The sequence below is a fragment of the Homo sapiens genome, chromosome 20 (genome assembly GCF_000001405.40).
Source record: "Homo sapiens chromosome 20, GRCh38.p14 Primary Assembly".
Taxonomy (NCBI): Eukaryota; Metazoa; Chordata; class Mammalia; order Primates; family Hominidae; genus Homo; species Homo sapiens.
This window is the reverse complement of record NC_000020.11, coordinates 46,995,573-47,007,959: the sequence shown is the minus strand read 5'-3', so window position 1 is coordinate 47,007,959 and position 12,387 is coordinate 46,995,573. Positions and strand designations below refer to the sequence as shown.

The 12,387-nt window shown below is 47.6% G+C and overlaps 1 protein-coding gene and 1 pseudogene across 5 annotated transcripts in view; both read right to left on the bottom strand.

The window, feature by feature from the left end:
• EYA2 (EYA transcriptional coactivator and phosphatase 2) overlaps nt 1–12,387 on the bottom strand; it is a 294,002-nt gene that overhangs the window by 180,885 nt on the left and 100,730 nt on the right. For all 5 annotated transcript variants that reach the window (NM_005244.5, NM_172110.4, XM_017027721.3 and 2 more), the window contains exons 3-4: nt 6,487–6,532; nt 2,876–3,018 (exon numbers count right to left, since the gene is read on the bottom strand). In NM_005244.5, the coding sequence (NP_005235.3) occupies nt 2,876–3,018; nt 6,487–6,532 (189 nt within the window). The remainder of the gene's footprint in view (nt 1–2,875; nt 3,019–6,486; nt 6,533–12,387) is intronic.
• GAPDHP54 (glyceraldehyde 3 phosphate dehydrogenase pseudogene 54) lies at nt 9,483–10,249 on the bottom strand (annotated as a pseudogene).

The following is a 12,387-nucleotide window of genomic DNA, read 5'->3' as shown; positions in this document are numbered from 1 at the left end:
ACCACAGCAGCCAGTGTGATCTTTAAAACCTAGGCTGGGCATGGTAGCTCATGCCTGTCATTGTAGCACTTTGGGAAGCAGAGATAGGAGGATTGCTTGAGGTAAGAAGTTCAAGACCAGCCTGGGCAACAAAGTGAGACCCCCCACCCCCCGTCTCTACAAAAAAATAAAAAAAAATTAGCCAGGGGAGGTAGTGCGTGCCTGTAGTCCCAGCTACTCATGAGGGTGAGGGAGGAGGATTGCTTGAGCCTGGGAGGTGGAGGGTGCAGTGAGCTATGATTGCACCATGGCACTCCAGCCTGGAAGACAGAGCCAGACCCTGTCTCTAAAAATAATAAAAATAAGAATAAAATTAAAAAAAACCCACCTAAGTTGCATCCTATTACCCACTGCTTATAAACCCTCTAGTGGCTTCCAGTCTCACGTGGAACAGAACCCCAAATCTTTCCTGGGCCTCGGAGGCCCCGCCCACCTCATTCACCTCATCTCCCATTGTGCTCCAGCCATTAGTCTTCTCAGAATTGCCAAGTTCCTCCCCATTCCCAGGGCCTGCCCCTCTGCCTGGATGCTCTCCTGTCTGTGCCTGCACATGGCTATCTCTCAGTTCTCAGCTGAATTTCGCTCCTTATTTAAAAGGCCTTTCCCATCCCTAGAACCTAAAACAAGTCTTTGCTTCCTTTATGCCGTGCATCCTAATTTGAAATTACACATACAGATTTAAAAATCTGGGGCCAGGTACAGTGGCTCCCGCTTGTAGTCTCAGCTCCTTGGGAGGCCAAGGCAGTAGATCACTTGAGGCCAGGAATTTGAGACCTGCTTGGCCAACATGGCAAAACCTCATCTCTACAAAAAAATACAAAAAATTAGCAGGGCGCAGTAGCGTATGCCTGTAGTCTGAGCTATTTGGGAGGCTGAGGTGGGAGGATCACTTGAGCCTGTGATGTTGAGCTTGCGGTGAGCTGCGATGGTGCCACTGCACTCTGGCTGGACAACAGAGTGAGATGCTGTCTCAAAAAAAGAAAATTAAAAAAACTTTTTTTTCTATCTCTAGGCCAGAGTTTGCAAACTCAAGTGTCTTCATGGAAAAGGCAGATAATTCAAGGGAGTAACGTGGGCTGGGTGAGGACTGTGGCAAACTAAAGCTAAAAGGAAATGTCTGCAGGGCTTTTGTCCACATAGAGCCACTGACCCCTGATACCAAAACTGTGAGTCTAGTGCTGCCTGATCATCGGTTTTAGGCAGTAATCTCCATGAAGACAGGGCCCGCTCTGCTTTGTTGACCACTGTCTGCCCCACACATGACTCAATGTTGAATGAATGAATAAATGAATGAATGAATGAACAAACAAACAGGGCAGAGGTATGGAGGAAGAGGAGGGAGGAAAGAAATGTAAGAGTCAGCCTCTGCACTCAACTCAAGCAGGACCCCTCTAGGTGGGAAGATGAAACGAGCATATTAATTTTACAATTGAGGAAACTGAGGCCTGGAGAGGTCAGGGGCAGCGAAGTCAGGCAGGCAGGTCCCTGCCACCAACGCTACGTCCTTTCCACTGGATAGCCCGGATTTGGGTGGGCTGTAAAGTCACGTGGAGTGGCTATCTGTAGTTTCTTCCTGCCTCCTTCTCCTTTGTGAACCACCCCTGCCTCACCTTCAGATCAGTTGTTTTGGGTGAGGCTGACCTGACCCCTGGTCCTGCGGGTGGACATGTGGCCAAATATGGCCACCCACAGCACCTATCTTCTTGGATGGATGTGGGAGTCCAGTAGAGAAATTCCTGGGACTCTGCAGGAAGTCCTAGACAGGAGGGGCTCTCTTTTTGGGGGACACTGCAGCCTGAAACTGCCAGGGCTGTCTTTGCCACCACAGTGGGAGAGCCTGCCTGAGCCTGAGGCCCACAGAAAGGGAAGCAGAGGCTGAGTCCTGATATTATACCTTGAGGACCTGGACCCAGGCCTGCCTGAAGCCAGTGCCCTAGGTTTTTCCAGCTACATAGGCAATAAATTCCCCTGTTTCCTCCAGCTGATTAGCTTGGGTTTTTGTCACTTGCTACTAAAAGGGCTTTGGTTAAGATATCAGCTAGGAGGCGAGGGAATAGCATGACTCAAGGCCAGAGGCAAGGGCAGGTGGGCATGGATGGTGAGCCAGGTTCGCAAGTCTTCAGTTCTTAGCTGTAAGATGTGAACAGTCAAGGGCTGGAGGTCTGTTGTTTCTGCCCCGTCCTCCACCACATCCATTTCTCCTTCTTCTGATACTACCACTCTGTTTTCCTTTAAGAAAACCACCCCTCCTTCAAAGATAATCCATAGGCTTCAGCTTCCTTATCTCCATCACCCTGTTCTCCTTGCCTTGCTATAAGCATTGCCACATGGCCCAACTTGGGCCAATGAGGGCCAATATGGGATTCTGTTGGAACTTCTGGGAAAGATGAGCTCTCTTTCCACTGGGCATGCAGAGATAAAAGGATGCAAACCTTGAGTGGACAGGCACCATCTTTGCTGCCATGCAGGGAGAACTTGCTGGGAGCATCTGAAGATGGAAAGAGACTTACACCTCACGATGACGCTTTAGCACCTAGATCCAGTCATACCTGATGACAGCTGTATCCACAGATCTCTCGGTATGCAAATCATTCAGTCCCAATTTTCCCTAAACCAGCTTGGGTTCAATTTCCAATTCTTGCCATCAAAAGGGATCTTGATATTATAGGCTATAGAATTTGAACCATATTTAAAGTGTTACTCTTTTCCCTTTATCTCTAATCCAAAATCAGCTTGGTTGTGTCTATTAATCCACATTTAGCTGAGACAATAGTGCAGAACAAAGACCATGATTTGGGGACCTGAGGAGGAGAGTAAGGACTTGTTTACTACTCACTGTAGGAAGGGATTCCATAGGCTTGTGCTGGAGGTGGGTAAGCTGTATAGGGGGTAGCCTGCTGGATCCCCGCACTGTACTGCGTCTGGCCGTAGGCTGCCATGGCTGTGGAAGGCTGGCGGGGGAGGACACGTGGGCAAGATCTGTGTGGAAAGAGGGAAGATTAAATCTCCAGGCCCAGTCTGGCACCCCTTCTTCCTTATCTTGATATCAACACCCCCATTTTTCTTTGGGGTTCTACTCTTTCCAGAGCAGAGACAACATACATGTTCACCAAATCCCATTTTATTTTCCTCTGCCTGGGAAGCAGGAAGATTACATTTTCTGTCTCCTGTGCAGTCAGATTCAGCCGTGTGACTGGGTTCAGCCCCGTAGAATGTAAGCAGATATGCTGTAAGCCACTCGCAGGCCTGGCCAATGAACACATCCCCCGCAACCCTCCTGTCCTTTCTCCTCTTTTGATAGCAACTGTGGAGGGCACAGGTTGAGATGACAGAGCCATGATACGGAAACACCCTGGATCCCTGAGTCAGCTTGTGGAGGAGAGAGAGCTGCCTTGCAGGGTTTCACCCCATCCACACTGGACTTTATGTAAGAAACAAACCTTTGTTGTGTGAAGCCACTGAGATGTCGAGGTTTACTGATTACTGTAGCATAGCCTATCCTACCCCGATTGTCCTAATTTAGATACCTTCTCAATTGACTGCAGCTTTAACAGGGCTGTCAATCAAGATGTCCTGCTCTTAGCTAAGGGGTGGGGACATGATGCAAGATCATCCAATCAGACTCTGCCCTGGGAATTTAAATCCTCCATATTGCTTGAATCCTGAATCTGTCCCATTCTTAATCTCTCTCGAGGCCTGATTATTTCATTTATGTTGTGAGCTATTCCAGATATTCCCCCAAAAATGCTTTTAGACTTATATCAGCCAGAGTTGATTTCTGTTGCTTGCAACCAAAGACCACAAATGACTTCTCTACTCCATGGAGAACAACAGGTTCTATAATGGGCTAGGATGTACAGGGCTCCTTACTTAAGATATTTATACTATGGGTGCTGCCAAGCATTGTGTTTTTTACTAAGGGTTGGGAATTGTGTCACATGCACCTGGTATGTACATTATATCTCATGGATGCTCTTATCAAATCTCTGGGGTGGAGGCTCTTATCTCTCCTGGTTTAGAGATGAGGAAACCAAAACTCAGAGAGCTGAAAACACAGCTACAAAGTGGTAAATATAGAGCTTAAATGAAGGAGTCTGACTCCAGAGCCCATGCTTGGAACCATGAATCTGCTATTCCTCACAGGACTAGGATTCATCCAGCCCTGCAGATAGCAATAAATAAAGTCAAGGTCAGTTGTTCTAACACAAAGGGAGCAAAATGGTGGCCCAGGGGCCACATCCAATCCACAGATCCATGGATATAATTTCTTTGACCAGTGAAGTTATTTTTTTTCCTAATTTGAAATTGTTGTTAAAATTTGAAAACCAGGAGGTTACGTGCACAGATACACACACACATGCAGGCATGCACATAAACACACTCGCTTTGTCTTCCTTCTCCTGAAAAGCAGGTGCTTCAGCGTACCTGGGTCTGCACGCCTGTGTGGTGCTATCAGCTGGATTTGAGCAGCAGCCACCTCTTGAGACCGAATCACATCCTGTCTGCAACAATGCCTACAAGGGCCACTTCCCTTAGTGGTAAAGGTAGTCAATTCTCATGCCTACGTGCCAGGCACTGTCCTATTTACTTCATGTGAATTGGCTCATTTAAACTCCACCACAACTGTGATAAGCCTTGGAGGTAATTTTTGTTTCTATCCCCATTTTACAGGTAAGAAAACAGAGGCAGAGAGAGACTTAATAACACGCCACAAGCATACAGCAGATAGAGAATTTGAACCCTGGCTCCAGAGGCCACACCCTCAACCCCTCCACTATGCCACCCTCCCCCAGACACCACAACTATCATGTTTCTAACTGTCACAACTGGGTTAAGCGTACAGGTAAATGTTGATGAGATTCCCCAATCTGTATCTGATTCCATTTTGGTTACATCACTTTTGCTAAAGCCTGTTTGCTTCCAGAGTTCCTCTTCCACCTGAGGCCTCACAGCAGGTGAATGCAAAAGTTTATGGAATTATAAACAGATGTCCCTATGCCCTTCTTTCTTTTAGACTACTGCCACGATAAAGGGTTATTTGGGGGAACCTGCTGCAAAATGCATAAGAAACTCATTTGAGCTGGAGATGTCAGCCCCAGTCCTGGAAGGTGTCTCATCCATCAATATGGACTAGCTCTCCGGGGGCAGAGACTGCATCTCATCCATCTCTGAGTTTCTAGGGCTCAGTGTGGGGTTAGGTACTGAGGAGTGATGTGTGAATGGTAGAGGAGGAAGAAAGGATGCATGCACGCATATGTTCATTGCAGCACAATTTACAACAGCCAAGACATGGAATCATCCCAAATGCCCATCAATGATAGACTGGGTAAAGAAATTGTGGTACAGATACACCATAGAATACTATGCAGCCATAAAAAGGAACAAGATCATGTCCTTTGCAGGGATACAGATGAAGCTGGAAACCCTTATCCTCAGCAAACTAATGCAGGAACAGAAAACCAAACACTGCATGTTCTCACTTACAAGTGAGAGCTGAACAATGAGAACACATGGACACAGGGAGGGGTACAACACACACTGTGGCCTGTTAGGGAAGGGTAGGGGAGAGGGAGAGCATCAGGAAGAATAGCTAATGCATGTCGAATTTAATACCTAGGTGATGGGTTGACAGGTGCAGCAAACCACCATGGCACATGTTTACCTATGTAACAAACCTGCATGTTCTGCATGTGTATACTGGAACTTAAAATAAAGTAAAGAAATGATGAAAGGAGGGAGGGGAAAAGGGAGAGAGAGGTGGAGAGAAAAGGATGGGGGACGAAAGGGGAGGGAAGAGAGGAAGGGAAAGAGAAAAAGGGAGAGAAAAATAAGGATAGAAAGAAGGGAGCCTGTAATCCCAGCTACTTGGGAGGCTGAGGCAGAATTACTTGAACCTGGGAGGCAGAGGTTGCAGTGAGCTGAGATCACGCCACTGCACTCCAGCCTGGGTGACAGAGCAAGACTCTGTCTCGGAGAAAAAAAAAATAGAAGGGAGATTGAAAAGAAGGGAAAGGAAAGGAATGAGGAAAGGAGAAAGAAAGACAGTGGCAAAAAGGGAGGGAAAAATTAAGAAATTCCCTATGCATGGGAAAGCAGAGGAAGGGGAGAAAGAAAAGAATAAAAAAAAAAAAAAGAATGAAGAGAAGAAAGAAGAAAATAATAGCTAAGACTCTGAGGACACTCTGCTCCAGGCCCCATTCTAAGTGTGTTTTACCTGCTTTTGCTGGTTTCGTGGGGGCAGGCAGCATGACTGTCCCCCGCTCCCAGATGGGAGGGCTCAGGCCCAGGGAGGTGGAGTGACTTGCTCAAGCTCACTCAGCTAGGAAGTGCTACGGCTGGGATTCCTATCCAGGGAATCTGGCTCCAGGGCCCTCTCTCTTAACCTCTACCTTCCAAGAAAGAAGAAAAGGTGGGCATGTGAGCAGGAGACAAGTGAATGGCACTCACCTGGAGAAGAGCTGGGACACTCTCAGGGGGGCCGATTTGGTGATGCCTGCAGGAGAAAAAGAAAAATTGGAAGAGTTTTAGCGATTAGGGTGATGTTCTGCAGAGGTGGTGACTTCAGACACCACTTAAGCAGGAGCAGACTTGGAGGGGTGCTGCCCGCGGCTTTCTCCACCACAGATGCTTATCTGAGGCGCCACATCTCAGCACTCTTCTTCTTGAGGAGTTCGGAGCCCTTTCTGGGTGCACTTCGTCTCTGTGCAGTTAAGGAAAAATGACATCTAAAGAATCCATAGCACCTTGAAACATCAGAGTAGAGTCCATTTCTCCATCCATTGTACAGATGGAGAAACTGAGGCCAAAGAGACAGAAAGAATGTGCTTGAGCCAAGTCACATGACCAGGCAGCAGCACAACTAGGAAGTGAATCAAGCTGGTGCCATTTCCACTCCTGGATGGAAAACCGCTCCCTTCCCTGCCTCAAAAGCAATCCCCAAGAACCCCAGAATGGCAGACACAGGCTGGCTTTGCTCATCCAACCTCCATTTCCCTTCTTCTAATGACATGGCTTTGATGTTCCTCCCCTGCCTCCTCACTTCCAGTCCATGGAGTGCAGGTGCAGCTGGCCCCAACACTTTAGGGGAAGGAACCACTTCGATCATCTCCTAAGCTCCATCTAGGGTGGTGGAGCAGAGAGATGGATGACACCTGGGCTCCTGATGCAAGTACCTAACACCCAATCACTCAGCACACAATGTCCAATCATTGATGGGAGGCGATATGCAGGGGGTGACGAAAAGGTGACAGAGTTAAGCTGGGAGAGACGTTTGCCCGGGGATAATTTTACATAGGGACAGTTCACTGGGAAGTACTTTTGTGCTCCGTCATCTTGAACAATGCAACTCAATGTCCTCACTGCAGAGTCCTGGACAAATTCTAGATAATGTGTCTACTGATGGGAACAGCGTCAACCTGCCAATGCCCACTCCCTGTTCTGTAGGGCAGTGGCTGCGTCATCATCACAACCTAAGGCTGTGGAGCTCTGAGCCTGCCTCAGCCTCTGCGCTGGAGGCTCAGGAGACCAACGTGCACTTGCAACTCTGCCACTTCCTAGTTATGAGACTTCAGGCAAGTTCCTAGATCTCTGGGCCTCAGGGCTCCCCCCTGTGCAATGAGGATGAAAATACTTATCTTGCAAGGACAGGAAAGGATTAAATGAGATGATGCTGATAGCCATCATTTACCCAGTGCTTATTACGTGCCAAGCTCTCTTCTAAATTCTTTACCTGGATTAATTATTTTAATCCTCATAAGTACCCTGTGAGAAAGGTTCTATTCTCATCCTCAGATGAACAGCTGTAGGCACAGAGAGCTTAAGTAACTCACCCAGGGCCACACAGGAAGTACGGTGTGGATCTGTGATCTGAACCCAGGTGGTCTGGCTCCAGAGTCTGTCTTCTCAACCATGACACTACAGCTGACGATGACAGTCATTGTCATAAGAGCAGCTGGCATTCACTTAGAGGTTGACTATGTGCCAGGCCCTTGTTAACTGCTTATAGACAGGCTCTCATTGAGTCCTCACAACAGCGCTCTGAGCACGCGATGCCATTAACCCCGTTGTACAGATGAAGAAACCGGGGCTCCGAAGGTCAAGTGCCTTGTTCAAGTCACACAACCGTGGGCAAGGGAACTGGGACTTGAACCCAAAAGCTGTGTGAGTCCAAGGTCAACACTCTTAATGCCCTCCCCCTGGCTGAGCCAAATTCTGTTCAAGTCCCAAACCACTGGGGTTGGGGCGGGGGTGGTGGTCTTGAAGTTCATTTAGAGAGTCATAACTGGAATTAAGAAAAGGAGAATTGCCTATTTTATGATATACGATGGCAGCAGGTATTGCCCATAGTAAGAAGGAATTGTGTAACCCTTTTGTTGCAGGTCCAGGTGTGAGAATGTGTTGTGTGTGCATGCACGTGCATTCAACAATGCAGAAATATATTTCGCATCATGTATCACATTCAAAGAAAAGGATGGAACAACAGTAGCCGAATGTCAAGGAAAGCCCCTGGCACACAGTAGGTGCTCACTCAATGCTGATTTCCCTACCCTGGGTTTGCTCCTAGGCGGGGTGTCCTGTACCCCATCACTCCTTCTTCATCCTCCCACAGGGCTCAAGAATGAACTGTCTCATTCTGAAGCAGCCACAATCTCATTCCTCGTAAAAGCCCATGACTTGAGTGCATTTAGTACTGCATAAGTTACTGAATTAAACACTTTAAATGTTTTCTTTCATAAATATGTATATATTCATAAAAATCTAAATCTATGGGAACAACATTCCTATGGGCTCGAATTAACTTGGCATTCCATAAATTGGAGGCAAGCGTCTTTTCTGCCAATCTCCATGGCATGATTTGCATGTTTGCCTCACCCAGCTCCTTTTCAAGCTTCCACCCAGTTCCTCTGAATTGAGCAACCTGCCTTCCCCAGCAGACAGGTTCCCCTCCCCCACTACGCAGACCTGTAAATACTCTCCCTTTCCCACCCCAGCAACCTCAGGAAGACTGTGCAAGCGAGAAACAGGCATTTGTAAGTGCAAAGAGATTTTCCTTTGGCAATTGTGTGATTTTTGAAAAAACACAGGCTTTTTTCTGTTTTCTGCTGGTATCAATCGCATTTAACCTTTTCATCCCAGGACACCTGGAGGAATTGAGAAACTGGAGAGTGAGTGTATTAAACTCTATGTAGAGTGATCTTCTGCCTCCCTTTCTGCTTCCTTTCTCCATGGTTAGGGTGGTGTGGACTTCATTGATAATCCTTATCATAAACACACATGATAAGGCAGGGCTCTCTAAGCTCCTTCCCTCCTCTGGGAGCCTTGGATGGGACACTGTCAAGGGTGGAGATTCTCTGCTTTGGCACAGAGGTGGGCAGGGACTGCCCAAGAGCAGAGAACGCCTTTCTTCTTCTTATGCACTTGCTGGTGGTCCAGAGCCCTTAGTCCTCAGAGGTCATGTGGACCAGGAAGTCCACCCTGCAGTTGTTGTAGCCAAACATCATCACAGTACCAGGAAGTAGGCTTGACCAACTGGTGGTTGTGGGCAATGCCAGCCCCAGTGTGACAGGTGGAGAAGTGGGCATCACTGTTACAGTTGCAAGCGACAACGTGGTCTTCAGTGTAGCCCGGAATTTCTTTCAATGACCCCCCAGGTGCCCGCATCACATTTTCTTGATGTCACTGTGCTCAACAGCTTTTTCTAGATGGCAGGTCAGATCCTGGACAGACACACTGAGGGTGGGGACATAGGAGGCTGTGTCAGCAAGCTTCCTGTTCAGCTCAGGAATGACCTTGCCACAGCCTTGGCAGTGCCACTGAATACACTCTGAACAGTCCCATGGCCATCGCACCACAGCTTGCCAGATGGGCAGAGAGGGCACAGGCAGTGGTCATGAGTACTTTTATGATGCCATGGTTGTCATAGACCCTTCTGGGGGAACAAGCAGATGGCATGCTGGAAATCTAAAGGGAGTAGGTCACCCTCATCTCAAACACAGACCATCAGCACAAGGGACAGAATGATGCCCCTTTGATGCCATTCTTCAGATGAGCTCCAAGCATCTCTAGGGTGATGAAGGCAGCAATGCCCTCTTTGGGATCTGGTGTCTGGCAGATGGAGGTGGACTTCCCACTGATCATAGCTTTCTGTTCTCAACCTTGTTGCTGCCCTTGAACTTGCCGTGATGGATTCATATTGGACCATGTAGGCTATGAGGTCAAGGTCAATGGAGGAGTCATTGATGGCAACTTAGGTCCACTTTGCTGGTAGTGAAAGCAGCTCTAATGACCTGGCGCCCAACAGAACCAAATCTGTTTACTCTGAGCTTTGCCCCTTCTTCATCCTCCCCCAGGGCTTGAGAATGAACCCACAGGATGAAGGGGCTGTGGCTGATGCATAACGGGCCAGCTGGCTGCCAAGTAGGGAGGGTAGAGTGCCTCCTCTATTTCCTTCTGAATTGTAAACTCTGAGCCTCCTCTACTTCCCAAGCTTCCTATGGGTGAGGAGAGAGGGATCAGCTGAGCTCATTCATTCATTGCCAGGCATGAGTTCAGAACTGGGTTACAACAGTGAGTGTAATCCCCAGTGTTGGAGGAGGGGCCTGGTGGGAGGTGACTGAAGCATGGGGGTGTATTTTCCCCTGGCTTCATGTTCTCATGATAGTAAGTTCTATCCTGTTCTCATGATAGTGAGTAAGTTTTATCATGTTCTCACGTTAGTGAGTTCTCTGGGCTGAGCTGCCCAGACCTTTGCCCAGGTGCTGGCCTGGGGAACCACATGTCAGCTTCATCCTTCTCACCTTTAAGGCTTTTGTAGCCGTTCACACCCAGAACAACCTCTACCTGTGCGGAACAGAAATCCCGCTTTGTGGGGGGAAAGGGTGCTATTAATCCCATCGTGGCCTCCACAGGTAAAGAGCTTCCACTGATGGCAGTAGCTCACAAATGTCATAGTCTCGAGCCACTTTCTGGCGTATATTCAGACCACCTCTACTGCCACTTGGTACTAATTTGTTCTTTTTTTTTTTTGAGACCGAGTTTCGCACTTGCCACCCCCCTCTCTTCCTCCTGCTCCAGCCATGGAAAATGTGCCTGCTTCCCCTTCGCCTTCCACCATGACTGTAAGTTTCCTGAGGCCTCCTGAGCCAGGCTTCCTGTACAGCCTGCAGAACTGTAAGCCAATTAAATCTCTTTTCTTTAAAATTACCCAGTTTCAGGTATTTTTTTATGGCAGTGCGAGAACGGACTAATACAGTGAGCCAAGGCAGTCAGGGTCCCTGTCTTTATGGACCCGAAGCCTCCTGTCTAGTGAGTGAGATGGATGACAAACAATCACACAAATGAGTACTTAACTGCAATTATAACGAGGTGCAAAGGAAGCAATGGACATTTGAGACCAGTGCACCTGGAACCAGGATTCACCTGGGGATCTTGTTAAAACACAGGTTCTGATTGTTGGTCAAGGAAGCCTCCAGGTGATGCTGACGCTGCAGGTTCACAAACCACACTTTGAGGAGTAAGAGTTTAGACCACTGGCTAATACAAAACTACACATCACTAAGCATTATCACAATTTGGGGTTCATAAAAAGAAATCTCCATTCCAGAAGACACAAACTCAAGTGCATATTGGGGCCACAAAGACAATATAAATGTGCAAAGCAAAAGATCCAGTTTTAAGAGAGGAAATTAAAGCTTCAGTCTGTGCATACTGAGTGCATACTTATGTGCAATTGTGTATGTGAGTGACTGTGTGAAGCAACTTACCCGAGGATACACACCATGTTTCATTCATTCACGCAGTCAACAAGTGTTTATCATGCACCTACCGTAGGCCAAATCTACAACCCATTCTCATAATTTGTTGATGTTCTTTCCAAAGAAAACAGATAGGCTTAAGGGGTCAGATCCAAATTTAAATCTTGGCTGTGCTGCAATACAGCCATGAGACCTTGTGTCCTTCACCTCTTCCCTCTGAGTCTCAGTTTTCTCATCTGCAAATTGGGGCAATATCTTGCACATATGCAGATGGGGCAGGTACCTGGCAAATGGTTAAGTGCTCAGCACAGAGGAGCTATTATTAGCTTCCACTCTCCTGGGGGCCCTTGGTTAAGCCACTTAAATCCATGAGCACAATTTGAATGTTCACACTTTTTTCACCTCTCACTGGGAGGATTAAGAAGCTAATGATTCTGAAAGCAGCAACGGCTGTTATGTTGCCTAATTGGACCCCAGGGGCCGGCTTCTAAGGGATCCCCCAGTGAGATGAGACAATTTGTAGTGCCAGCGAGATGTCTCCAGGCAGGTCTCTGCTATAAAGGTAAATGTCTGTAAACTGTATCAGTTCATCTTC